The 27,788-nt window shown below is 46.5% G+C and overlaps 1 protein-coding gene across 7 annotated transcripts in view, besides 3 other annotated features; it reads left to right on the forward strand.

Annotated features, from left to right (window-relative positions):
• HK2 (hexokinase 2) overlaps positions 1–27,788 on the forward strand; it is a 59,233-nt gene that overhangs the window by 10,326 nt on the left and 21,119 nt on the right. For 6 of the 7 annotated variants that reach the window (XM_005264280.3, NM_000189.5, XM_011532807.3 and 3 more), the window contains exons 2-3: positions 9,841–10,003; positions 23,184–23,332. In XM_005264280.3, coding sequence (XP_005264337.1) covers positions 9,841–10,003; positions 23,184–23,332 — 312 coding nt within the window. Of the gene's footprint in view, positions 1–1,200; positions 6,847–9,840; positions 10,004–23,183; positions 23,333–27,788 lie in introns of those variants that run through there. The other variant, XM_047444085.1, reaches the window with a different exon arrangement.
• Positions 850–1,144: a silencer, noted in NCBI's record as "tiled region #11570; HepG2 Repressive DNase matched - State 14:Gen5', and K562 Repressive non-DNase unmatched - State 14:Gen5'". NCBI's record gives its function as "represses a minimal TATA promoter and a strong SV40 promoter by Sharpr-MPRA in HepG2 and K562 cells {active_cell/tissue: HepG2 | K562}" and the evidence as "EXISTENCE:reporter gene assay evidence [ECO:0000049][PMID:27701403]".
• Positions 5,504–5,643: an enhancer, noted in NCBI's record as "active region_16083". NCBI's record gives its function as "activates an Ori minimal core promoter by ATAC-STARR-seq in GM12878 lymphoblastoid cells {active_cell/tissue: GM12878}" and the evidence as "EXISTENCE:reporter gene assay evidence [ECO:0000049][PMID:35858748]".
• Positions 11,193–11,733: an enhancer, noted in NCBI's record as "H3K27ac-H3K4me1 hESC enhancer chr2:75082772-75083312 (GRCh37/hg19 assembly coordinates)". NCBI's record gives its function as "activates a minimal SCP1, AML or CMV promoter by ChIP-STARR-seq in naive H9 embryonic stem cells {active_cell/tissue: H9 hESC(naive)}" and the evidence as "EXISTENCE:reporter gene assay evidence [ECO:0000049][PMID:30033119]".

A 27,788-nucleotide genomic window follows, 5' to 3' on the forward strand; every position in this document is an offset into this window, starting at 1 on the left:
ATCAGTAGTTATGCCATGACCACAGGTGTAAACTGAGATTGTCTTGGGTAAGCAGGGAAGTGTGGGTACCTTGCCTGTGGTGGGTGTGATCTTGGGGTGGATGGGGCAGACTGGGACAGACCCAGAGGTATTTGATCCAGCAAGTGGACCGCTGGCAGCAGACAGGAGTGGGGAGTTCAGATGCCACTGTGGGGCAAGAGGCTCAGAGGCAGATTCTGGTCCCTGGCCTGGGGCTGTCGAGGGGTAGGCAGAGTCTGACTTCTAGGGACCTAGCATCCTAGGCAGGGCAGACAGGTGGACTGGGAGGAAACCATGCTGCTGCGGGGATCCCATGCAGTGTGGGCGCCAGCCTGAAGAGCAAGGCCCGACACAGAGCACCTGGTCAGTCGGGAGTAGCCAGCTCTTCCCCTTCACCAAGTTACTTGTCAACTTTTCTCTTTGGTGTTCCCATAGCCCCTTGTGTATAACTATAACAAAGGTTTCTTGAGCACCTATTATATCCTAGTATTGAGATAGCTGCTGCTATGACTGCAGAGAGGCCATTTATGCTGGGCTATGGAGGGTCAGTGGGAGTTTGTTAGACAAGGGGAGGGGACATTTTGGGCAGTGAGGCCAACACATACACATTTCTAACCATTTCAAGACAAACACTCCTCAGATTCACATTGATGTATGTGATTTAAGTGATTGTAAATCCATATTTTATTAATGTAAAGGAAACTGCCTACTGTTCTGCCCTTCCTGTCAGTTTGTAATTACTTGTTAATGTATCTGTCTTCTGCCAATAGACTCAGCCCCTTCCTGGCAGAGGCTGGTGTCTCCTTTATCCCAGTATCCTCAGTGCCCAGCCCTGGCACACTCAACTTGGCACTCAGTCAATATCTGTTGGCAGGTGAACTGTGCCAGGGTCACATGCATCTGGGACATAATCCCCCTTTGCTCTGCTGCTCCGCAGTCAGAACAGAATGTCTGAGGACAGGAGGACCCTGGGCCGGGTGTCCCAAATGCCCATCTCCTGGACCCTGGACAGGTGCTGCTGCCTAAGGTCTGTCTGGCTGTAACTTGATGCAGCTGAGACTGAGAACTGGAAGAACAGGAAGCCCTGTGACTCACAACCGCTGCAACAGGATCCTGGAGGAGTGGCCCGTATGCCTCCCTGGTCAGCTCTGCGCTTACCCGCTGCCTCGGGTTTGTGAGTCTGCAGTGTGTCAGAGCTGGCATTGGCCTGAGGTGGCATGGCTGCCCTGGCGAGGACAAGTTCCTTGTCCCATCTGAAGAAGTGGCATAGGAGATCTGAGTTTCGGTTCATGGGCTTTCAGAGGACAGGAGACTTACAGAATCCATGTTCTGCTGTGTGTCTTCCCCCCGGCTCATCTTTTTTTCTTTTATCAGAAACATCTGGCCCTGCCCTGGCAACTTTGTAGAATAAACTTGCTGCTCTTTGTACAGCCTCAGCCTTCCCAGGAGGAGTCTGTGAGGGCATTATTATTAATGAGGTCACTGACAGCAGTTGCTTGGCTTTCCCAGGGTGGGCACACCTGTGCCCTAGGTTAGGGCACTCGGCTGGTCACTGGATGCTATGGGTCTTCAGGGACTAGGCCTGTGATTTGGGGAGGCTTCTCCAAGTCTTGGTTTCCTTGTCAGAGAGTTGTGGTAAAACACTGGCAAAGGAATAATGCAAAAATATGAAATTCTTTTGAAATTAAGTTGCAAGCATGTGTCAGCACAGAGTCACTGGAAGTCTTTGTGTGGCCAGATTTAAATGATGGATCTCTCTTTGTTTGGCCTCTTTTGACCTCTTTAATCTTCTTTGGCTCTTTGACTGTGTATAGTGGGTAAACTTGGGCCAAGTCAGTGCAACCTGCCTTTTTTTTCCAGCGTCTTTTGAATTGAAGTATAATGCACATGGGAAACTGAAAGCAGCAGGTAACCACCATCCAGATCCAGTAACAGATCATTACCTGAACCAGCCCCGTGTTCTCCTACCCACCACCACCATCAAGTGTAATCACTGTCCTGACTAACAGCATAGGTCTGTTTTTGTACTTAATATAAATAGACTCATACAGGATATAAAAGATGCCATTTGTGTCTGGCATTTTTCAGCCAGTGTTTTACTGTATTTTGAGATTCATCTATGTGGTTGCATGTAGTGGTAGGTGGTGCATTCTTGTTGCTGTATACTATCTCTTGCACCACTCTGGCTTGTTTTTGTTTTTAAGAGACAGGGTCTTGCACTGTTGCCCAGGCTGAGTGCAGCAGCGTGATCATGGCTCACTACAGCCTTGACCTCCTGGCTTCAAATGATCCTCCTCAGCCAAAGTATTAGGATTACTGGTGTGAGCCACTGTGCCCATCCCACCACCCTGTTTTGACTGTGGTTGATTTAAAGCAGACGAAAGTAGTCATAATAAGGCCCCTGACTTCCAGAAGGTATGGTCCTTTCTAAGTTTCTGTCAAAGGGGCCAAATAGGAGTGTTGACCTAATATATAGATGACCCGATTGTATCTTCAGGACAAGAACATGCATGTTAAGAAAGGTGAAGTTCAATCAGTTGGTCTTCTAGGGTCTAGAAACTAAAAGGTAGGATTTTTAGCTGTGGTCATCTAGGGCACCTGGAGAGACGGTTCTAGATAATCAATTAGAAATATCCCAAGACTGGGGAGACAAAGTTCAGCTGTGCCACAGGCATCCTGCATCCTTTGCTTTGATGCTTCTATGCTTGTGGAGTAACTTTCTTATCCTATGTGATCACTTGAATTCAGCCCTCTACCAGGAGGGTGTGCCCTGCAGACACAAGTGATGAACATTTGCTTATTCATGTATTATGTATTTTCTGCTTGCTTACTAAAAGGATTTAGTGATTTGGTTCAGCTTTCAGTAAAAAGATTTCTAGAACGAGAGTCATCAAACTGGCGAGATGATTACTGAAAAACTTGACAGGCCAGGTGTGGTGGCTCATGCTTGTAATCCCAGCACTTTGGGAGGCCAAGATGGAAGGATTGCTTAAGGCCAGGAGTTTGAGACCAGTCTGGACAACGCAGTGAGACTCTGTCTCTACAGAAAAAATAAAATTAAAAAAATCAGCTGGGTACGAGGGTGCATACCTATAGTCTTAGCTACTTGGGAGGCTGCAGTGGAAGGATCATGAGCCCAGGAGTTTAAGGCTGCAGCCTAGGAGTTTGAGGCTGCAGTGAACCATGATTGCGTCATTGCACTCCAGCCTGGGCAGCCGAGCAAGACTCTGTCTCTAAAGTTAAACAAACTTGACGAAGCTCCAAGCTTCCTGACAGTCAAGGCAAAAAGGATAGTTAGTTCTCTTTGAGTCAGTCGTTTTCATCCCATCGGCCTATAACAGGTAGCACAGTGTGTCTGGGCAGCCAGACTTTCTCCTGACACTAACCCTTACTGGGGACTGAATGGCTAGGGAAGCATTAGTGAAAGACACAGCAGCTTTACCTGGTGCAGTGGTCTTTATAGTCTTTCCTGTGAGCCCTTGATTAAAAGTGATAGAACTAAACCTATGAAGCATTTCATGGGGAGCTAATGTAATGTTGTGAAGGTGAGGAGCTTTCTGTTCCTGGAATTGGTAATTTCCCAGGGTCTTAGGGGCTTGCCCATGCCTCCTGAGCCTTTTCACACTGCTGTCTCTAGGTAAGCATTTATCTGCTAAGGTGGCTGAGCTCCAAAAGTATCCCCTTTGATTGCCAGTCTCTCAGGCCACTTAAATCTGTGACACTTCCCATGGGCTGCCTTGTATTGTGCCCGACATTCTTATTAGACAAGACTCATCTCTCCACGCATTCTAGAGACACTCATTGATCTATAATATGAGCCAGCTTCTTTGATATAAAGTCCTAGAGAGCAGGGCTGTTGATTTCTTAAAATTTTTAAGAATTGTAATAAAATATTAATCACAAAATTTACCATTTTAACCATTTTAAGTGTACAATTTAGTGGCATTAAGTGTGTTATTCACATTGCTGTGCAACTACCACCACTATTCATTTCCAGAATTAATTTCTTGTAAAATTATGTTTCTGTACACTAGTGCTTTGTATTTAATAGCTGTTCCATAAATGCCATAACATGGAAGATGCTGGGGTTGCAACAGTAGTCAGGATTCAGGGATTGAATGATACGGATCTTACAGACTTAGACATTGAAATTTAAGGTTTCGTTTCGTCTACACTTCCCTTTTAAAACCCTTGAGTACCTTACTCAAGGTAGGATCTGTAGTACTTCATATAAAAACTGTCAAAATTGGAATATTGCTGTCTTCTGGATGTAAATAATTTGATCAAGGCCAGGTTCCCACAGGGACCAGATGGGGTGGGCTCAGGATCCAGGCAGTGGCACCAGTCTTTCAGTTGCATTGGGCCTGCAGAATGAGATGGGCGCTTCTGGGCCAGAAGGGTTGACATTCATCCAGGTGATCCAGATTCTAGTTTCAACTGTGTGACCTGGGTCGAGGCTGCTCCCCGATGGGCCTGGTTTCTCTGAGATCCCTTTCTTGCAGTCACCTCCAGGCCTTTCCTTCCTGGGCTTCCCCATACCTGGCCAGGACTGTGTATGGCCCACCCTGCACACTGCATACTTCGAAGTGGAGCCTCCATGAATGTCCCCTTTTGTTCTCTCCATTTGTTGCTTTGTGACAGTGACACAATTTCCTCTCCTTTTTTAAGTGCTGGTCTGGAGGAAAATGCAGGTACTTAAGGGGATGGGTGTTAATGGCTTCCCATTTTGGGTATTATCTTATTTCCTAGAGAGTATGGGGTTAATTTGTCTTTAGGGCTTCCCCTGACACCAACCCCAATTCTGTAGAGGAAGTGGGCATGTCAGACTGGTATGTTATGGGAAAAACTGAAACTGACCAAAATTACCCAATGAGGAAGCTCTGATCTAACCCTTGCTGAAGAAATATCAACTAACAGTGCTATCTCTGTCTAACACGCCCTCGCTTCCTGGGCTGGCAGCTTGGCAGGCAGACGGGAAGGTAACCCGTTCTTCAGCCAGGCTTTGCTCTGGCCTGCCTCCGATTCCCCAGCCTGGAATGCCCCCTCCTCCTTTCCTCCTCTCCCAGATAGAGATTTAAAGAGAAGCAGCCTTGTCCATGCCCATCACAGAAAGAGAAGGAATAGTTTGGGGAAACAGCCTCTGCTTTGTGACTAAGGAGGGTTGAGAAATGTCTGTGATTGCCTGAAGGTGACCCTGGGTGGAGAGAAGCTTTAGAAGAAAGAAGGGGTGGAAGGAAAGGGGGGGTGATAGAGAACTCTTTTGTCCCCACAGTTATGCTAATGACTCTGTCATGTGGGGCTATTCATCCTGTTTTGTGGCAAGGAAGCTGGGGTTCAGATGAAGAGTCCTCTAATGTCGCACACCTGTACGAACGCTACCACTAGGATTTGCATACTGGTGTTTCTGATGCCAGAGCACTCCTTTCACCACCACCAGCTACAAATCAAGGGTTGACCTGAATGAGTCTGCTTTGATAGTATCCAGAAACTTACATCTCTTAAAAACAAATGCAGAGTTTGTCTTCCCAACTCCCAGCAGGCTGGATCAACACAGGATTACTTCACAGGGTCACACCTGGCCTAATATCTTAACCACCGACTCTCAAAGATTCCAGGCAGAAAAGTGATATGCAGTGTTGATCAGAACAGGGCCAACCACGATCACGTTATTGGCATATTGGAAACCTCCCAGAGGAGAGGGGAAGGTGTTTGAGCCCCAGCCTTAGAGGTGTCATTTGGTTAGTCTGGAATGGATCCTTGGAATTCTTACTGTTTTCTTTAAAAGCTCCTCATGTGATTCTGATGTGCAGCAAGTTTGGAAACTCTTATCACAAGTGACAGAATGGAGATTAGGCAGAAGTATCAGAAAGCAGATTTATCTTTGATTGAGGAAACTCTTTGAAACAAGTAGAGCTGTTCAAAAATGGAATTTAGAGAAATAGCGAGCCTCTCAGGCTTGGAAGTATTCAAACCTAGGCCACATGACTATCAATTGGGTGGAGAGAGACAAACTAGATAAATTCGAATACTATGTTTAGTGGGATTTTCGAACTAGTTACCCTAAGGGCCTTTCCTTTCTATGGATGAATACTTTTCAGCTGCAGTCCCACTGCTGTGTGTACATCTGCTATCACCTGCTTGGCTTTCTCCTTTGACTTTGGGCCTGGTGCTCCCTCCCACTGATGGCACTGTGGGTGAAAGTTGGCAAGATTCTGAAAATTGCATTCATCTCCTTCTCAATCCAGGAAAATCATCTTTGTATGGTGGCTGCTTCTTGTTTCTGACTTCTGCTTCCCTTGGCTACCAACACAGCAGTGCCTACCAGGGCTGGGTGGGCTCCACTGGTGTGTTTAGGAAACTGTGGCATTAAGTGATTATTAATTATCCCTTCCTGAGTGGCCCTAATAAGCTGAGTGGACACATCATCATGCCCTGGTGCCATCTGTTCTCAAGTTTTGAGAGTTCAAAGAGCTCTGATGTGAAAGAGGGGAAGTTTGGGCCAAGCTACTGGCCTGGACATTTTTCACTGTTTCATATCCACAGCTGTTTCATATCTTCTCTCTTAGTCTCCTCATGTGATGGAGAGGAAAATAAGGTCCCAGGGTCATCCAAGAAACCACAGGGCAGGCTGGGAGTGCCCATCCACACTAAGAGGGGCCCACAGGACAGGCGAGGGTGGCTGTCCTGACGGCCTGGCAGTGGGGCCAGACAGACCTCTGTGGAATCCCATCTCTGCCCCTCATTACCCAAGTGATCTATAAAACGGAGGTGCAGAAGTTTTACGAAGACAATGGAGAACAGGTCAGGAAAGCCGGAAGTGCCTGACAGGTGAGAAATGCTTGAGGAATGCTTAGCCGCTGTAACCATCACCCCATTACTGTTTTCATCTGTCATTGAACATGTGGAAGATGGTTATCTATGGGGCAAAAGGCAACGTGGATAAAGGGTGACTGTTTAACTCGATTCTTCAAGGGTTGAGGATGAGAAGTGTCTGACTGGATTTCCAACATGTCTTGAAACAGTTTAAACATCGAAGATAAACTAAGATTGGCTGTCGTAGAATTTGCTTTTTTGTGTGCATAACCTCATGCTTCTGGACATGATGATAGGACCATTTAATGAGGTGGAACAGGCTCAGCTCCTCAGTGCAGGAACTCCTGTGCCCTTTGCAAACACCTGAAGCCTTCCATAGAGGGTGGAGGTGGGGCGGGGGCACCAAGAAGCTTCTGGGCCTCTCTTCTCTTTGGGAAAGTAGTGAGGTGAGAGTGTCTTTGTCAGGTGTCACCCTCATGACAATGTTCAGAGACATGTCTGCTGCCCCAGACCTGCTCAGTCACCTCTGTGTGCCTCACTCTCCACTGCGTGCTGTTCATGTCTGCATTGGGAGGTGACTGGAATAGAAGATGGCCTTTTAATGGATATGGACAGCCTGCATTCCCTGCAATGCTGTTTGACCTGTATAGACCCTGCTGTATCCAGGCAGGCAGGGGGCAGTCATCTAGCAGAGTGGACAAGAGCACAGACCAGCCAAACTTCTCTATCAAGCCAAACGTGGCCCCTCGTGTCTGTGTGACTTCCCCTCTCTGTAGAATAGAGATGCTGGCACTTCCTACCTCAGAGGGCTGTTCTAAGGATGAAATGAACTAATGGGAGCAAACCCGGAGAATAGGATCTGGCACAAAGCAGGAGCCACGTGAGGGCTTGCCATTATTACAGTTGCCCATGAGGACATCTCAGGCTTTTCCTGGATGTGGCCTCGCATTGGCTTCTGGTCTGGGTAGCCCCAGACTTTGCACATTAGCCCTGAGATGTGAAAGTTGTAATGTAGCATTCCTGGGCCAGTCAGTGTCTCATTGGATCTGGAGTGGGAAGCCTCCAGGGTGGTCAGAGTTACCCTTGAACTAGGGTCACTGGAGATGGCTAGAGATTTGTCTGACACTTCACTGAAAAGAAAGGGGCCTTGTCTAGTGTCAGGCTGAAGCTGCACCCTTTTTCCTCCTGGGGAGCCTCAAATGTCCTTGTTGGGGAGGCCCAGGCCTCCTCAGGAGCACCTTGGTTCCCAGATATTGTAGGAACCAGAGATCAGAGACCCAGCTTGTGGGATGGAGGGTGGGGGGCTAGTGCCCCACAGCCCTGGAGGTTGTGGTAGATTCCAGGAGTTGGAAACAAGCTGGGCAATATAGCAAGACCCTGTCTCAAAAATAACAATTAAAAGATTAAAAAAAAAAAACAACAAAAAACGAGTGAGAGTTATCTGATGCTTCTCATTCTCCTGGTATTAAATCTGGGAAAAGTTCATGTGAATTTATGTGGGAAACAGGATCAGTGAAAGAACTAGGGAGAGTTGCCTCCGCATGAGCACAGAGGCTGCATTATCATTTACATAGAGCCTCTCCATTGTGCCAGGCACCGTGCCAGCCTCCAGGTATGCAAAGGTGAACAAGCAGACATTGTTCTAGCCTTTGGTACTTATGATTTGGACCCTAATAAATATTTAGTTCCAAATTGTGGATAGTGTTGCGAAGGGAAAAGCTCAAGTTCTTAGAATAACAGGGAGGCCTGGCTGTTGTGATCTGGAGGATGAGAAGAGGCCTCTACAGAGAGAGGCCTGAAGGAGTGGTAGCAGATCGTCAGGGCATGTACCTGGAGGGCCTGTGTGTGTGAGCTCCAAGGCAGGGATGGGCAAGTTGGGGAAGTTGGGGAACTGAACCAGGGAGAGAATCTACACAAAGAGTCCAGACCTTACCATAAGATTAGGAGGTGGGGCCGGGTGTGGTGGCTCGCTCCTTTAATCCCAGCACTTTGGGAGGCCGAGGCAGGTGGATAGCTTGAGTCCAGGAGTTTGAGACCAGCCTAGACAACATGGTGAAACCCTGTCTCTGCTAAAAATACAAAAATTAGCTGGGTGTGGTGGTGCACCGCTGTAATCCCAGCTACTCGGGAGGCTGAGGCACTAGAATTGCTTGAACCCGGGAGGCAGAGGTTGCAGTGAGTCGAGATTGCGCCACTCTACTCCAGCCTGGGTGACAGGGTGAGACTCAGCCTCAAAACAACAACAACAACAACAACAACAACAACAACAACAACAACAACAAAATTAGCCAGACATGGTGGCACGTGCCTGAAAGTCCCAGCTGCTCAGGAGGCTGAGGTGGGAGGATCACCTGAGGCTGGCTGAGATCTCATCACTGCACTCCAGCCTGGACAACTGGAGCGATACCCTGTCAAAAAAAAAAAAGATAAAAAGATTAGGAGGTGGCTAGAGGCCCGATCATGTGGGGCCCTGAAAGGATTTTGAGCTTTGTTCCAATGGAAAGCCCTGAAAGCCGGGGATCAGCGGAGTCTGGCTGGGTGTGGAAAGTGGATGGAAGAGGTAAAAGCGGAACTGGGGATTGTAGGCGTCCGGGAAAAAGGTGATGGCTACCTGGCCTAGGGTGAGGGGCAATGGGATTGCTGTGACTGGCCATGTCAGGTGCTGGGGGAACAAGAGATGAGGGTAATGAACCCTGGCTCCAGTGATGTTGTCACAGGCCTTCCGACTCAACCATTCTGAAAAGAACTCTCCTCTGTCCTAATAGGCCTTTCCTCAGGTATGCACCAGTTCTCCAAAAATTAGGTCTATTTTTATAATTTTAATTTTTTGGTTTTTTTTTTTTAAGACAAAGTCCTGTCAAATCGGTTCCTACTAATGGTCTTTAATAATAACTTTCTGTACATAACAGATTTTGTTCTTTTGAAGAGCTGAGTGGTGTTCCATGACGTACACCTATGCCATAATTTATTTAACCAGTGGTTTCTGCTCTTGTCTTCCTCCTTTTTCAGGTTGACCAGTATCTCTACCACATGCGCCTCTCTGATGAGACCCTCTTGGAGATCTCTAAGCGGTTCCGCAAGGAGATGGAGAAAGGGCTTGGAGCCACCACTCACCCTACTGCAGCAGTGAAGATGCTGCCCACCTTTGTGAGGTCCACTCCAGATGGGACAGGTACTGCATCTGGGGGATGGCTCTAGCTGCTGCGTTACTCAGGGGTGATTTAGTTGGCTTTGCTCAGGGACCCAAATAACTCAAAAGCCTCAGAAACCAACCCTGGCTAAGGGAAGCATCCAGGGAATTGAATGGAAGGCTGTGTGACGGATGGACAGGAAGCTTGGGAAAAGCTGGCAGTCCTGGCAGTTAAGGGAGGGCACCTTTGTCAGCCCTACTGTGGCATCACTGTTGGCCATTTGTTTTCTACCTGTGTGCTGAGAAAGGCTGCTTGGCTCAGTTTGGCATTTTATGGTCCCACTGAGATTGCACGCAGTGATGGTGATGAACTACAACAAACGTACCTCACGTGGCCACAACTGTAGGCCGTGGGAGCCGCTCTGTGGCTCACCTGTGCATGCTCTAACTGGGACGCCGGACGCCGTGTAGGCATGTGGGAGGGACAGTGTAGTGCAGATTGACCTAGATTTTTTTCTTGAGCCCCATGTAAAAAGTACTAGAAATCCAAATAGACTTGGACAAAGTATGGAGCGTCACAGTGCATATATATATATTTTTTTGAGACAGTTTCACTCTTGTTGCCCAGGCTGGCGTGCAATGATGCGATCTCGGCTCACCGCAACCTCCGCCTCCTGGGTTCAAGTGATTCTCCTGCCTCACCCTCTGGAGTAGCTGGGATTACAGGCATGTGCCACCAAGCCCGGCTAATTTTGTATTTTTAGTAGAGATGGGGTTTCTCATGTTGGTCAGGTTGGTCTCGAACTCCTGACCTCAGGTGATCCGCCCGCTTCAGCCTCCCAAAGTGCTAGGATTACAGCTACCGCGCCCGCTGCCACAGTGCATATTAAGGAATTAAAGGCTCAGAAGTCCTGCAATACAAACCTATTAAGCTTTGTTTAATCATCTTATTTGGATACAGAGTACTTTTTTTTGAGATGGAGTCTCGCTCTGTCACCCAGGCTAGAGCGCAGTGGCGTGATCTCCATTAGCCAGAATGGTCTATATCTTTTGACCTCGTACCCGCCCACCTCGGCCTCCCAAAGTGCTGGGATTACAGGCGTGGCTACCGCACCCAGCCCAGAATCCTTATTTTATGGTACACCACCCAGCAAGTGATTTAATCAGGCAGGGGAAAAAGGATCACGGTGGAGATTCAAGTTGGAAAGGTCCAGTGGATTAGGGCTAGGTCACTGAAGGCCTTGAATGCAAGCCTAAAACATTTAATCTCTGCAGTAGCATTGGGGAGTAAATGCAAGGTTTTGAGGGGTGTCTTGGTAATGTTACATCATTGGCAGTATAGGTAGAGTGGAGGGGGAGCGAGGCCCAGCTGGTAGAGCACAAGACATGGCTCTGGTGGGTGGGCAAAAAGAGTATTCAAGGGTGGGGCCCGGCTGTTGAGCCCAGCTGCCTGGGAATGGCAACATCCCAGAGAAGGGGACCGAACAAAGTTGTGTCAGAGCTTTTATTTAATCCTCATAATAGGTGCCTCCATTTTAGAGATGAGGTGCTTGTGAGGCCCATGACGGGTGGTGGGTGGGGGGTAGGTACTCACATCTAGAGGACAGGAGAGAGAACCCAAGGGGCAGCTGCCAGGGCAGAGGAAGAACCAGGAGGCACAGTGTCCAAGAATCTAAGGGGGACGAGATCTCCAGGAAGCTGGCAGGTCGCTGGTGAGGCATCTACAGGGGCGTTGTTGGGAGGGGAGTAGGGGCAGGGCGTGGGTCAGGGCTTGTTAATGCCACGCGCCTGTGCTGTTTCCAGCACATGTGTGTCCTTGAGGCTCATCTCCCTAAGTGCCTCTAGGGACCTGGTTCGTCTGAGACTGTATCGTTCCCAAAATAAGTAAGTGTTTGCTGAAGCCTTGGGACCCAGCCTGGACCCAGTGCTGAGGGTATGACCTTGCTTAGGATTGTTTCCTGAGTGTGTTTCTTGGCCCTTCAAAGAGCCCCTCGAGGTGAGGGGCCTCTTATCTCTTCCATGTCCTCTAGATTGGCATGTTTACCTACCACTCCCTCTGACTGGAAACCACACCCACTTCTGAGATTTTTATTTGACATTCAGATAAATGTACACACTCCGGAAGGCCAGGGCCTTGTCTTTATTTCACCCAGCACTAACACTAAGTAAGTACCCTAAATCTTTTCTAAATACATATGGGCTAAGGACTCTTTTGGGCACCTCAATGTATTAACTCATTTACTTTTCAAAAACCTTTATGGTAAGTACAAATTTTATCCACAATTTTTAGATGAGGAATTTGAGGTTCAAATGTCAAACAAGTTGTCCAAAATCCTACAGCCAGTGGGAGGCCGAGTTAGGAATCAAGCTTGTGTAAGCCAAAGTTCAGGCATCGGTACTGCACGTGATGTGTTATATGTGTTCATGTATGTGTTAGCCTGTGCACTTGGCGCTGGAGCACACTGCAAATGCTCAACTAAAATTTTTTTGGAACGGAGTTGGGACTGATTGTTTGGACTGTATTATAGGCAGGTGAATTAAGTTTGTTGGGGAGAACTAATTATGGGGCAAGCTTTCAAAATTCTCATTGCTTTCCTGAAGCTGGAGGCTCCAAGACCTCCCATGCACCTTGAAGCTTGCACTGTTTGCAGCACATACTGGAATGTCTTACTCACTGAAACAAAGGAAGTGGCCCCTGGAATAATGGAGACCAGATTGCAGGAAACCCACACCTAATCCCTCCCTCCGCATTTGCAGGGGGTCCATAGGTTAGCTCCTCACCTCCATACTCTCTGGGACTCAGCCTTTGCTTTTGTAAAGTAAAGAGGTTGGACCTAGCAGTTCTAGTCTGTTCTGCACATCTACTAGAACTATTGTGCTAGTCTATTCACACAAACACTTCTGAGATCCTGTAATGGGAGATAAACCCTTGGTGTTCATTGGATGGTGTCTTAGTTCATTTTTGTGTTGCTGTAAAGTGGGACATATGTATATATGACAACTCAGCAATTCCACTTCCAACTATATGCCCTGAACAGACTCCTGTATGAATCCAAGGAGACATGGCTGAATAATGTTCATTACAGTGTTGCTTAATCGCACCTATAATCCCAGCTACTCAGGAGGCCGAGGCAGAGAGAATCAATCACCTGAACCTGGGAGATGGAGGTTGCAGTGAGCCGAAGTTGCGCCACTGCACTCCAGCCTGGGTGACAGCATGAGACTCTGTCTCAAAAAACAAACAAAAATAGATAAATTTAAAAAAAATAAAGTGGTCAGCATCAGGGCTCTCAAGTTTTGCTTTGTCAGTTGGGGGTATGAGTTATGGAATATGGCAGTGAAAATAGGTGACTCCTAAGTTGATACAGACTATCAAAAATGAAAATTCTCTATTGTCAGCACCCCAGTGAAGTGCTGCGAGGAAAGGCCGAGGTGAAGTTGTGTTAGCGATTCCCCCCATGTGGTCGCACACAGCCTGGGTGCCTGCCGCTGCTGCTGGGGGTGAAGCTGCATCCCTCTCCCACAGAAGGCTCGAGGCCTTTTCTCCAGGGGCACCTGTTCAGTGCCACCTTTCTCAGAACATTCGTTTCTCAGCCCGTTCATGGCTAGTATTCTTTTCAAACCTGAGAAACCAAACCCCAGATCTAGAGGGAGCCAATTTTTAAATCCATAGCTTTCTAACTTTTCTGGGCTATATCTTCACAGCAAGAAACACATGCATATAAATATTTATATGAAAGGAAATAAATTTGGGGACCAGAATTTATTCTTAAACATGATGAAGTTGGGTTTGTCTTCTATTCTTTAAGAAAGTTGCTAGTCAGAACCTGCTAAATGTTTTTCACTTTGCAGTTTGAAAGCCACTGCCTTAAATGATCCTTGGCCCAGTTTGATTCTAGATGAGCATTTCCTTTCTTGCTGGCACGAAATATGTAGTTTCAGGACAGTGTGGGGTGAGAGGTGAGAATCAGAATTATAGGTTCAAATGGGTTTGAATTCAAGCTGTGTGCTTCAGAGCGATTTATGATGTGATCCTCTATTTCCTCATTTGTGAAAAGGGGAAACTTCAGGGGGATCGGTTTTCTGAGAATTAAGGGAGAATCAGATATGTGACTTTCTCACATGTGTTACAAACACTCCTGCAGCCACAAACCACCACTGCAAAAGGCACTCTCATTGCCAAATTTACTAAGAAAAGGTGTGTAAGACTCCCAGGTTTTAATTTTGGAAGATTGGCATCAAGGGAGCAGGTGTGAGGGTTCATCCCCATCACCAGGGGCCCTGCATTTTGGAGTGAAGACCAGGCCCCAGCTCTTATACCAGCTCCAATTATCTAATTGTAATCAAAGTCCTATTAGAAAATGTGGAGAAACCAGAAAGTTTCAGGCCATTTATTTGTGGTGGAGGCCTCCCCATCACGGCTTATGGGCTCTTGTGTGAGAAGGCAGGGAATGTCAGTAGCCACTGAACCCCGTAGGGGTGAAATGTTCAAGGTAAATCGTGAAGTACCTGTGCTTCATAGGTTGTGTGGCCTACACAGTGTGAAGAAACACAGTTGGCATAATTAAAAGTGCAATAGACATAAACGGTCCAGGAATGTCTTACTCAATGACTGAATTTGGTGTCAGCCAGAATACATTAAAAATGGTCTCTATTTGTCGTTTTGCTTCTTTCCCAAACAGTTTTAAGAAGTTGAAAGAATTCTATAGTGGTCATCTATATTTTACTTGGTTTGCTTTATCAACCCCCCAATCCTTCTATCCATCAGTCCAGCTTGTTATAATTGATGCATTACAAAACATAAATTGCTGAGAAAGTATAGTAAATACTAATACTGAACTCTAGTTACTATGTATGCTGAAGTTTTAGGGTTCAGACGTATACTTACATAGTAACTAGAGTTCAATATTTGCTGTATTTTCTTGTGATGTAAGATCTAGATGAAGTGAAATAAATCTTAAGAGTATTATCTGATAAAAAAATAAATAGAAGGCCGGGCATGGTGTCTCATGCCTGCAATCCCAGCACTTTGGGAGGCTGAGGCGGGCAGATCACAAGGTCAGGAGATCGAGATCATCCTGGCTAACACGGTGAAACCCTGTCTCTACTAAAAATACAAAAAATTAGCCAGGCGTGGTGGCAGGCGGCTGAAGCAGGAAGAATGGTGTGAACCCGGGAGGCAGAGCATTCCAGCCTGGGCCACAGAGCGAGACTCCATCTCAAAAAAAAAGAGTATTATCTGATGAATTGACAAATACACCTGTTTAATACAACCTCCATCAGAAAAGGGAATGCTTATACACTGTTGGTGGGAATGTAAATAAGTACATCCTCTATGGAAAACAGTATGGAGATTTCTCAAAGAACTAAAAATAGAACTGCCATTCCATCCAGCAATCTCACTATTGAGTATCTACCCAAAGGAAAAGAAATCATACCAAAAAGATGCCTGCACTTGTATGTTTATCACAGCACCATTCACAATAGCAAAGATGTGGAGTCGATGCCCATCAATGGACAGATGATTGGATAAAGAAACTGTGGTATATATACATAATAGAATACTGTTCAGTCTTAAAATAGAATGAAATAATGTATTTTGCAGCATCATGGATGGAACTGGAGGCTGTTATTTTAAGTGAAACAGCTCCAAAACAGACAAATACCGCACGTTTTCACTTATAAGTGGGAGCTAAACAGTGTGTCCACATGGACATAGAAAGTGGAATGATAGACCATGGAGACTTGGAAGGGTGAGGGTAGGAGGGTGGGGGGCATGAGGGTAGGAGGGTGGGGGGTGGTGTGGATGATGAGAAATTACTTAACGGATGTAGTGGGTGTTGGATACACTAAAAGCCCTCACTTCACCATTGTGCAGTATATCCATGTAACAAAATTATGTTTGCACCTCATAAATTTAAACAACTAAAAAAAACCTCCATCAAGATACAGAACATTACCATCACCCCAGAAAGTTACCTTGAGCCCCTTCCCAGTCAATCCCTGTACCTGATCCCCCCAGAGGCAATCACATTCTACTATTTTCCACATATGTGAGTTTTGCCTGTTCCAGAACTTCACATATAAATCGACTCACACAGTATTTGTTTTTTATGCAAGTCTTTTTTTATTTGTCATAATGTGGGATTTATCTGTGTTGTGTCTATCAGTGTCTCGTTCCTTTTGGCTGCTGATTCCATGGTATGATTAGAATCTGATATGAATATTGATGGACACCCGGGCAGTTTCCAGTTTTTGGCTATTTGAGTAAAGCTGCTATGAACATTATTGCACAAGCCCTTTTGTGGACACGTTTTTAGTTCCTTGTATAAACAACTAGGAGTGGAATTACTGGGTCATTCATAGAATTTGGTATATGTTTAATTTTTAGAAACTGCCAGACATTTCCCCCAAATTGTTGAACCATTTATACTCCCACTAATAATGTATGAGAGCTCTGCCTGCTCCATATCCTCAATAGCATTTGTTGTCTGTATGTCCTTGTTTCTTTTTTTCAGTGGAGAGTTAATTAAAGAAAGCATTCATTTGCGTTTGCTAGGAAACACACCATCTTGACCTCTCTGTAGGCAGCCCTAATCTGTGCCACAACCCTGCGTGTGACTGTGGTACCAGCCCTAACGCAGTTCTGTCAGGGGCCCCACCACACACATAGGGGCCACACATAGGGGCCTGGCTTTCAGAGGACAGTTCCATTTTAAAAGGGAATGCAGGGGTCGGGCACGGTGGCTTACGCCTGTAATCCTAACACTTTGGGAGGCCAAGGTGGGTGGATCACTTGAGGTCAGGACCAGCCTGGCCAACATGTTGAAACCCCATCTCTACTAAAAATATAAAAAATTAGCCGGTTGTGGTGGCATGGACCTGTAATCCCAGCTACTGGGGGGCTGAGACACGAGAATCGCTTGAATCTGGGAGGCAGAGGTTGCAGTGAGCTGAGATCATGCTGCTGCACTCCAGCCTGGGCGACAGAGTGAGACTCCGAAAAAAAAAAAAAGGGAATGCAGGAAGAATTGATAGCATTTAATGAGCACCCATGGTGTCTGTACTAGGCCATTTACATAAATCTGTTTTACTCTCCACAAAAACTTTACAAGAGAGTCATTCTCACTTTAAAAATGAGGCAACCAAGGCTAAAAAAGGATTGATGGCTGCCAAGGTCACCTGTGGGCAGATGGTGACAGTTGGGATGTAAGCATAGATAGTCCTGACTCCACGGCCATAAGATTCACAGTTTACATTGGCTTGTACTGCTGAACCAAAGTTTCTAGGGAAAATCAGATGATTATCTTTTTAAATGGATCCTAAATACGAGTTGGCTTTGTATCATTCCAATAAGAAGCTCAAGTACAACCCAACTGAAAATGTGCCAGCCGCATGTTCTAACTTAGAAATGAAGTAACTGTGGTGCCTTTATCACCCTTGTCTTGGCAAGATCGTTTGGTTATAACTATGCCTTATGAGACAGAGTGAGGGTAAGGCAGTGTCAGATCGATCATTTGACTCTTCTTCACCTCGGAATTGTGAATTATGTTCACAGGTAAGTATACCTCCATCCTCTAGCCAGACTTAAACCCTCTAGAGAGCAGGGAACCATGATGCTGATGGTGACGGTGATGATGATGATGATAAAAATTGTAGACATCGTTAGTGCCAGGTACTGTGCTGAACGCTGTGTTTGAGCTATCTCATCATTTCTTACAGTCATCCAGTGGTAGGTACGCTGAACTTCACTTTACAGAAAAAGGCAATAGATTTGGAGCAATTAGGCAACTTGCCCAAAGTCACAGTGAGCAAGTGGCAGCATTGGGATTGGAACTTGGCCAGCCAAATTGCTAATGCCTGGGCTTTTAAGCACACCACCAGTGGCACATTGGTGCTGTGCTGCTAGCACAATGTGTGGATTCTTCTCTTACTAACCTAGGCCTAGCTGTTCAGCTCATTCAACAGTCCTCTCCGAGGCTTGGTCCTCTGTGCAGCAGCAGTGTGCTAAGCTGCCTCGTGCCCTTTAAAGAGTGAAAGTTGTGCTGGGGAGATAAGGCCCATGTAGACAAAACAATTAGAGATATCGGGCCATATAATGCAAGCACATGATGTGATAAAGGGAGACCGGGCTGGTGATACGTTGCATGGAAGCTGGTTAAACCTGAAGGAAGCCCTTATCTTGGTTGCTCTGCATTATATTAACAACTGTACAGCGGAGACATACATCCAGAGCTAGCACACAGCAAGTTAATTGGGGTACTTACGTAGTCCAGGCGATATAAATTGAAGATTGTACTGATAGATAGCCTCAGTACAGCAGATGGCACTTACATTGTCAGGCGTTGTGCCAAACGCCTTACACTTCCTTGCACTGAATCTTGACAAGGTGCGTGTGTGTATGTGTGCGTGTATATGTGTGTGTTTTCCTGTGTTCTTGTTCTGGGTTGTGGAGGGAGGTGCTGACTAGAAGGAGGTTATCGTTACCCTTTTAAAACAGATGATGAAATCTGAGTGTCAGATTTCTAATAAATTGCCCAAAGCCACATGGCTAATGCATGTTAGAGTGGGATTTGAACCCAGGTCTGCCTGCCTAAAAAGCTGAACATGCTCAGAGCTTACACAATATTGAAACATAATCATGTTTTAACCCTTTGAAGAGTGGTTTCACATCTGTGGGGCTAATTACACCTCTCTGTGACTGGCACGTATTTTGAGCTTAAGAAACACTTCCTGGGTAAAAAGAGCACCAGAGTGGTGCATTCCAAGAGGTGTCCTAGGAGCTTTAGGGTGCCAGTCATGTGTTTTACGTGTTCCACACCCCTCCCTTCAGTTGGAGCAGCTCTGTTTTTCTCTATTTTACGTTGTGGCATTTGGCCCACCAATTTTATTTGGAAATAAGCATTCTGTTGCTTAAAATGGTTTGAAAACAAATGATGTAGAAGATCAGATCACTCCATTCCTAGTCTGTACCAGACACCAGCGTTAACTGTGATTCAGTGCCTTTAATGACACGGAGTATTGAATACTTCTGTATGGCTGAGCTCTTGAATGGTGGCCGGCATTGCATTGTAATGGAGTAATTGGAATCCTGGGGTTTAAAAAGAGGCTGCCAGGTGTGGTAGTGATCATGGCGATTCCGGGTACATGGAAAATACGTGCCTTGAGACCTGTGTCTTGCTACATTACCTGCTTAGGACTTGGAGATGTATCTTTTCGGTCCTCGTTTCATTTGGAGTATATGCCATACATTCTCAGAGCAGTCCACTGTTGTGTGCTAGCAGGTGCTTGAAAACTAAAGGAAAAAAACAAGATCCCCTCAACCCAGAGTCACCCCATAGAGGATGATTGGAATGTTCAGTGCAGTTACCTGGGGCCACTGGAAATGATATTGTAGGGCAGAAAGGGCAGGTCCCTTTAGGGGCATTAAGTTATAAATATAGGGCTGGTTCAGGAACTGAATGTGAAAGTATGCGTTTGTGACTTTGACCCACCTCCAAGTTTACGGCTGCATGCCTCAGGCATTGAGTGACAAGGAAGAGCCAGAGGCTCTAAGGTTGGATCAAATACAGTCCAGTGTTCTGATTTGCCTGAGCCTCTCCCAGTTTTGGCATTGAAAGTCCCATGTCATAGGAAACCCCTCCATCCTGGGCAAACTGGGATGGTTGGCCACCCTACATGGCCCTGGAGCTCATGCCCTCACTGCTGCTCAGCTCAACTGTGGCAGCAGCCCTTGAGCTGCTTCCTTGTGCTATCCCAGCCCTCCACAGTGCCACTAGAGCCACTAGAGCCCTTTTGGAAACAGATCTGACCTTCTTAAGAACGAAAGAAAGTCCTTGGCAATGGTATTTGCTGTGCGTTTATAGCCATGTCACGTGAGCCCTATGTTGTAGCTACTCTGGACATGCCATTTTTTGGCACCCACAAATTAATGCCAACTTATAGTTATACCAAACCTCTGTCCTGCCTTACTGGACACCAGAGCATGCCACAAACCTCCATGGCCTTGACAGGGAGAAAGGGAACAAGTACCTTGATAGGATCTATTAACGGAGGAATAATTTACTGTGTTTCTTCTTTGTTGTTGTTGTCATTTGTTTGTTTTTTTTTTGAGACAGAGTCTGGCTCTATTGCCCAGGCTGGGGTACAGTGGCGAGATCTCAGTTCACTGCAACCTCCACTTCCTGGGTTCTAGTGATTCTCTTGCCTCAGCCTCCCAAGTAACTGGGATTACAGGGCTACGCCACCATGCCCGGCAAATTTTTGTATTATTAGTAGAGACAGGGTTTCACCATGTTGACCAGGCTGGTCTCAAACTCCAGACCTCAAGTAATCTGCCCGCCTTGGCCTCCCAAAGTGCTGGGAATACAAGCATGAGCCACCACACCCAGCCTGTGTGTTTCTATATGTTCACATACAACATAGTCCATGTTTCACGTAAGCATCACAACCGCTGGGAGATGTCAGCATTATGAATCCTGTTCTACAGGTGAGGTGACATGCTCAGAGAGCCCTGTGATGTGCCCACACCACACAGGTAGTGAAGCTGCTGAGCTGGAATTCAAAATGAGGCCTGCCTACCTGTCTAAGGTCCAGTGCCTAACCACTGCTCTGGCATGGGCACGTAACCATGCGTGGGCGTTACGAGAGGGCCCGTCTCAGGATTGCCGAGTCACAGTGCTAGGCCTGCCTCAGATTCCGGACTTGGAAGGAATGCAGTCATTGGCTATGGTGGTTGTGGCTTCCTATGTGTGTGGAGGAGGGCTGCAGGGAGGAGGGGTGTCAGGGAATGTGTGTTCCAGAGGAGTCCTGTAAGCAAAGCAAGAGAGGACCTCCTTCCTGGGAACAGGTTCATCAGCAATACTTTATTATTTGTGTTTTCCCTTCAGTCCATCAGAAAATCCTGCACACCACCCGTTCTTGGTGGAGCTGTGGCCTCTGAGTCCAGCTGGGCTGGCCTCGGATGATGACCCACCAGGGGCAGCCTCGCCACCTCGGTCCCCTGTGGTCACTGATTCAGCGGATCGCGTGTATCCTGGACTTGAGAGTGCTGATGAGGCATTTCATCTTTGATATCCCTTTCATCCCTCATGACAGCCACCACGTTGTGTTTCCTAGAATTTGGCTGAGTTCCCACTACCAGGGAAGGCTCAGAGCTGGAGTGTCTGGAAAAGCCACCCATGGCCATGAGGCAGGCAGGCTAACCCCAGATGAGGGCGATGTTGCTGTAGCTAGCCCGCAGCTGTAGCTAGTGGTGGGGCCACCTCTAGTCACTGGGCAGGAAATGGAAAATTAGTGCCCCTAAGGAGGAATGCTGCCGTCACTGGAGCCAATTCCAGTGACTTTTCTTGGACAGGTTTCTGCAATCCCTTCTGCTTTCGTTGGCCTGGAAGAGTCAAGTGAGGCTGTGGGACAGGGTCTGCCTAGAGCCCGGAGAGAGAGTACCTAGTACTTACTGAGTGTGTCCTGAGTTCTTGGTCCTGCACCACACTTGTGTGTCTAATTTTTCCCCTCACAGCAACCCAATGAGATGCAATGTTCCCATTTTAGAGATGAAGCAGCTGAGGCTCAGAGGCTCAGGAACTTGCCTCTGCTAAATAGTGGCCGGGGTTCTGGAGCAGGTGATGTGGGCTCCAGAGCCAGTCTCCGTGTGTCACATCGCCTGACACACTTCTGGTTGTGTGGTCTCTGGTGGATGATGTCTACCGTTTTCCCTCTTGGGACCCTAGGGACTGTGGGTGGTGTTCTCAGGGAGCTGGTCAGATGTGACTTTTCTCAGGGCCTAAGTGCTGGAGGTGCTGAGTGCACCTGGGTGTAAAACAAACATTCTTGGGTTATTGAGTCAGAGCATCTCCCTGACCTCTGACCCATTCCGCTTCACTTCAGTGCTGTTCTCCCACCAGGAAAGGGGTTGAGTGTTGACAAACATGCCAATAAGTGAACCCCCCAGGAAATTGCCTTGTATCCTTGTATCCTTTGAGAAGGTTGTGGCAGGGCAGCAGAAGACTGGCGGTGCTGCTCGCAGTTGGGGCAGTCACCTGCGGATGCGCCTTGCCTGCTCCGCCAGCCCCTGCCCTGCTGCAGGTTCCGCGCCTCTTCAGCACTTTCATTCTGTGCCACACAATGGGGCCCTTCCCCATAGTCGGTGGTATTATCACCCAGGATCTGGATGTTTCCTGTCTACACTGCTGTTTCCTGGAGGGTAGGAACTGCACCTTCCCAGTGACACATGACAGTCTTCACCCATCTGTGTCTGTGGCTCCTTTCTGGAGTCTCACTCATCCTCTTTCCTGCTCCCCCACAGCTTTTCTGTTGCTTCAGTGGCCTGACTCTTGTCGTACATACATGCTCTGGGGTCAGCATTCTCTTGCATTCTGATAAGCCTGAGATCCTTTGAGGGGGCACCTGCTTGCCTTATTCACCAGGCCTCAATGTGTTGGTCCTCATTCCACTCCATCACATGACCCCTCTGGTCTTGCTGCAGGACATGGCCCTCATAATATGCAAACATTAGAAAGTAAATTTAGTACTGCAATTGCAATATGCAAACATAATATGCAAACATTAGAAAGTAAATTTAATACCGTGCTTGCAATTTGGTGTTCTGGGGGTATGAGGAACAGGATGGAGGCATGCACCCCTGGCATGGGGCTTGCTGAAAGCACTGAGGAGGTAGTCGGCTCTCAGGAGGGGGTGAGCACATCGTTGGATGCGAAACTGTCTTATATTGTTGATTGAATTATAAAAGTAATGTATATGCGACAGAATACTACTTAGCCATAAAAAGGAACAAATTAATGGCATTCGTAGCAACCTGGATGGGATTGGAGACCATTATTCTAAGTGAAGTAACTCTGGAATGGAAAACCAAACATCATATGTTCTCACTCATAATTGGGAACTAAGCTATGAGGATGCAAAAGCATAAGAATAATACAATTGACTTTGGAGACTCAGAGGAAAGGATGGGAAGGGAGTGAGGGATTAAAAAAAAAACAGCCCTGTGAGTTTCCAGTTTTAATAAAGCTCTGAGAATTAAAAAAATAATAATGTAAAGGTGTATAGCATGAAATTAGACTATATGTAATGTCTGTAGAGGAGTGAATCCCACTGGCCGCCCCTTACCCACAGATATTCCTGGAGGGACTTGGAGTTTTAAGTCTCGGTTGGTTCCTGGAAGAATTTTGCCCAAAATTAATAGTGGCCCTTCCTTTCTCTGCAGAACACGGAGAGTTCCTGGCTCTGGATCTTGGAGGGACCAACTTCCGTGTGCTTTGGGTGAAAGTAACGGACAATGGGCTCCAGAAGGTGGAGATGGAGAATCAGATCTATGCCATCCCTGAGGACATCATGCGAGGCAGTGGCACCCAGGTATGACCCTTCTCTCAGGGCAGCCCCTGGTGACAAAAAACTTCCTTGGCATGTTCTTTCTGTACTTTCTCCAGCCGCTCCCAGCGTGTGGATAGGCAGTCACCCAAGACACTCATGGATGCCAGCACAGCTGTAAGGGCTCCCTCTCAGCCGGAGCTCAGGCTGTTCTGGTTGTATTTTATACCCAACATGTACTCAGTATTAAAAGGAGTGACTAGAGAAGAAGCATGAAATCCAAGTAAGACGCTGTTCAGTGTTGTCACATCTCGGGCCTCAGGGCTTGGAAGAGGTCAAGCCCTCTGATTCGTGGTCGGCTGTTCCCTCTCCCACACAAGGCTCCCTCCTGGGAAAGGAATTTCTGACCATGAGTAGAACACGCTGGGGAGATATTTTTAGACTCATTATTTGTCTTTGGGGTGGCCTTGAGGTAAACCTGCTTTCCTTGTTATCATGCTGGGGTTGGAGAAGGGAGGCTGCATCCCTAGGGCTGTGGGCATTTGAGCTTTACCGAAGTTGTCACGTGGCTCCAGTATAACGTCAGGAGGGACACAGAGGGTAGCGGCCCTTCCACTGCCACTCCTATGCCTGCACCAAGCTGAGGTATTAAAGAGATTGGGTCCTGTATTCAGGCACTCTAGCTGTGTGATTCTGGGCAAGTGATAGACCTCAGTTTATTCATCTGTAAAAAGGGATGATAGTGTACGGATTGTGGTGTAGATTAGAGGAGATGATACCTGTTAAGTATTTGGCATAGTGCTGGTGCATAATCTAGTACTCTTCGTGTTTTTTTCACAGGGGTTTTTGTCTGTTTATCTAATTGCTTCTTGTGCTGTCACTTTCTGTGGCTAGTAATTGCATTGTTCCCTGTTGTGGGGGATGTGGTTGCCTTTTCTTCCCGTTGCCTCGATCTCCTGCCTTGGGCCACATCCCCCAGATGATAAATGTTTAAGAACCAAGTAAACTAGATAAGACAAAACAAAACAAACAAAATAACATCTAAAGTTTGGCTGTGATTATGTAAAAGACTTGTAACGTGATGGTGACTTGTTAGGTGGATTTTTAAGTTTTACAAGAACAACACCCTCCCTGTTGCTTGTATCCTGACAACATGCAGGGGCCAGGCACCTTGCAGTCCCTGCAGCGTCATCCCTAGAGCCTGGCAAGGACAATGAAGTGCGTCTCTGCCAATTGAGAAAAAAAATCCATTTTAAACATTCAAGATGTGAGTGAAGTTCTTCTTGAAAAAAGCTTAAAATTGCTCAGACCACCTAGTTAGAGGGTATCAAGAAAACCTACTCTCCATGCAATATATAAGAAAAACAGTATAGTCCGGATTAAAAAAAAAAACAACTATGAGACCCACCTTGAAGAGCATTAAAACTGTTGAGATATTAGAAAGATTTTAAGTAAGTGAAAAATGCTATTTAAAAATGAAAAGGAAAGAAAGCTAGAAGAAAATATAGGTATCTTTGATCCTAAGGAATAGGAAGACTGCTGTGTACCTAAAAGCAGCAGAAAACACTTGGAAAAAAGGCTGAAAGGAAGTTCATTGTGGCTATTTTAGTGGTGGAATTACTGGTGCTATTTTTCCCATATTTTCCCCCTTTTTTGGTACTTGGTATCAGTATTTTACTTAAAGGAAAACAAATGGATTGTAAATATACACTTTGGTTAAGAACAAATCTTGGAATCCCAAACTTGCAAAGGTTTTTGAAGAATTGTGAACCTGGGCAATGGGGGTCCTTCGGTAAAGTCTGTCTTCCGGCACATTAACTTCTCCTGAAGAGCAGTGGATTGCAAACCTGAATGGCAGCCACTTTAAGATTTTAAACGTATATCTCGTGGAAAGGGAAGTGAGCAGATTTTCAGACCAGTAAGGAAAAGGAAACCATTTTAACTTCATAAAATGATGCCCTTTGAGCCTTTTTATGACAGGAACGTGTTAGCTCTTTCTCTGCATCTTACCCATAGATCCTCCTCAAAGAGAACGAGATTGTCTTCCAATTCAAGGAAGCAGAAGGTCTCCTCTTCCCACTTGAGAAAAGATGTAGGTTCTTTGAACCCAGCCCTAGCCAGTGGAACTTCTTGCAGCAATGGAACTGTCTCCTATCTTCCCTGTGCAATATGATAGGCACTGACCCTGTGGCATCGAGCCCTTGAAGTGTGGCTGGTGTGACGGAGGAACTGAATTTTTAAGGTCTTTTTTCTTTTCTTTTCTTTTTTTTTTTTTTTTTTGAGACAGTCTCACTCTGTCACCCAAGCGTGACACCCAAGAGTGCGGTGGCACCATCCCGGCTCTCTGCAATTTCTGCCCCCCAGGTTCAAGCGATTCTCCTTCCTCAGCCTCCCGAGTAGCTGGGACTACAGGTGTGCACCACCAGGCCCGGCTAATTTTTTGAATTTTTAGTAGAGACAGCTAATTTTTTGAATCACCATGTTGGCTTTGAGCTTCTGACCTCAAGTGATCTGCCCGTCTTCGCCTCCCGAAGTGCTGGGATTACAGGCAGGAGCCACTGCGCCGGCCTGTTTTAAAAATTCTAATTAATTGACATAGCCACAGATGGCCAGTGGCTACTATATTGGGCAGGGCAGTATTTAATGCTTCTTCACGGTCTATTTTTCTCTACCTTCCTATGTTAGGAGCGCAACTGGAAAGAAAGCAGTGATCAGAGCTGGGGGAGGAGAAACCATTTTGCTTTTCCCCCTTCTAACCCCCACCTCCAGTCTTTGATGATTGGCCTTATCTCTTTGCACAACTTCTGCATCTCCCTTTTTTTTTTTTTTTTTTTTTGGGATAAAAACTATTTGTACTAAAGATCATTTTGACTAGAGTGCCAGGAAGAAGGTGCTGGGAATTTGTTTAATATACGTATCATATAATTCATCTCTAGTCACCTTCCCGACAGAACAGAATTTGCTGAATATATCCCTATTTTCATGTTAAAATACTTGAACTCTGTTCAAGGGAGTTGGCTCACCTGCACTGGTGATCCCCATGGCAAGAGAGCCTTGTCCTCCCCAGCCTTTGCTCTTGAAAATGTTTTGGTTTGGAGGTCGAAGGTTCAGCCTCAGCTGTTGTTAACTTTGCATGGGATCAGACAGAGGGACAGACAGAATGGATGTGGGAAGTTTAGTTAGATCTGGCCATCTTCCAGATTGGGGTGGCCTTGTCTTCCTGGGTCCCTCCTGCTGACCATACCCTAGGCATCAGGAGATCCAACAGGTCTGTCAGTTTCCCTCTCCCAACCTCTCAGTTCCTTTATAAATGTAAGAACTTTCTGTGGTTTGGCATAGTGGTTCTCAACCTACTGCTCCAGGATCACCTGGAGGGCGGAAGGCTTGCTAACAGATGGCTGGGCCCCACCCCCAGAGTTTCTGCTATAGTCGGTCTGTGGGGGCGGGCCTAGACCCTAGAATGTACATTTCTAACATGTTCCCAGGTTAAGGGAGTGAGGTTGCTGTTCCAGGAGCACACTTTGAAAAGCCATGGTTTAGTCGAATCTTCTTGCACCTTCCTGGATAGGAAAAGGATAGTTGACCTCTTATCCACCTTGGCTTTTAGATTTTGCCACGTAGTCAACCTGGCCCTTGGAATCTGCCCAGCCTCTTTGGCCTCTGCTTACTTTTTACACCTGAATGCCTCTAGTCTCAGCCTTCACCTAAAGGGTCAGCAGCTTCTCTTTGAGCGTGTAGGGTGGGGCAAGAAGGACGCCAGGGGATTGTGGGCTTTGGGGCTGATTGAAAGCCTGGCTTATTATGAATACAGCTTTTTTAAGGCTTAGGAGCTCTGGGTCCTGCACAGTGAGTGCGTGCGGTCACGGTTGTGAGGCTGCTCACCCACAAAATGTGATTTATTTCTCAGCGCTCTTCATGGACTTACTGGATGTTCTGTTTAGAAAGTTAGAAAACAAAGATAACTTCTTTGAATTGCCCTCAGGAGATTAGTTTTCTAGAATGGAGAAAAAAATATAAAAATTACTTGTTTTTGTTAAGTTGGTTCATAGAATGCCAACAGAGAATGCTGTCCCTGCAAACCACCCCCCACCCCATCACCAGAGACAGGGATACTAAAATACTTCTTGGCAGCAAGATGGGCTGGCCTTTGGTATGATCGTCAACTGGGCTTCCATGTCAATGGGTTTCTGACAGGGCCACCAAAGAATGTTCTGTTCCCCGGGCATGAAGTGACTTTCTGATTAATGTTGGCCATGATTTCCCCTACCTCACAGGGTTATCTTGACAGCAGTTTAGAAAAATGGCTTAAGTAGAGGACAATATTTAGTGGGCAAAAACTAATGTTAAGCCTTTATGTATTGACTCATGTACTCCTTTTCATAACTCCATGAGGACAGGTCCAGTTATAATTCCCTTTTTGTAGGTGAGCAAATGAAGATATCAGAGGAGATATGGGTTTTGCACACATTCAGCTAGTTACGTGCTGAGCCTGAAGTGCATG

The sequence above is a fragment of the Homo sapiens genome, chromosome 2, assembly GCF_000001405.40.
Source record: "Homo sapiens chromosome 2, GRCh38.p14 Primary Assembly".
Taxonomy (NCBI): Eukaryota; Metazoa; Chordata; class Mammalia; order Primates; family Hominidae; genus Homo; species Homo sapiens.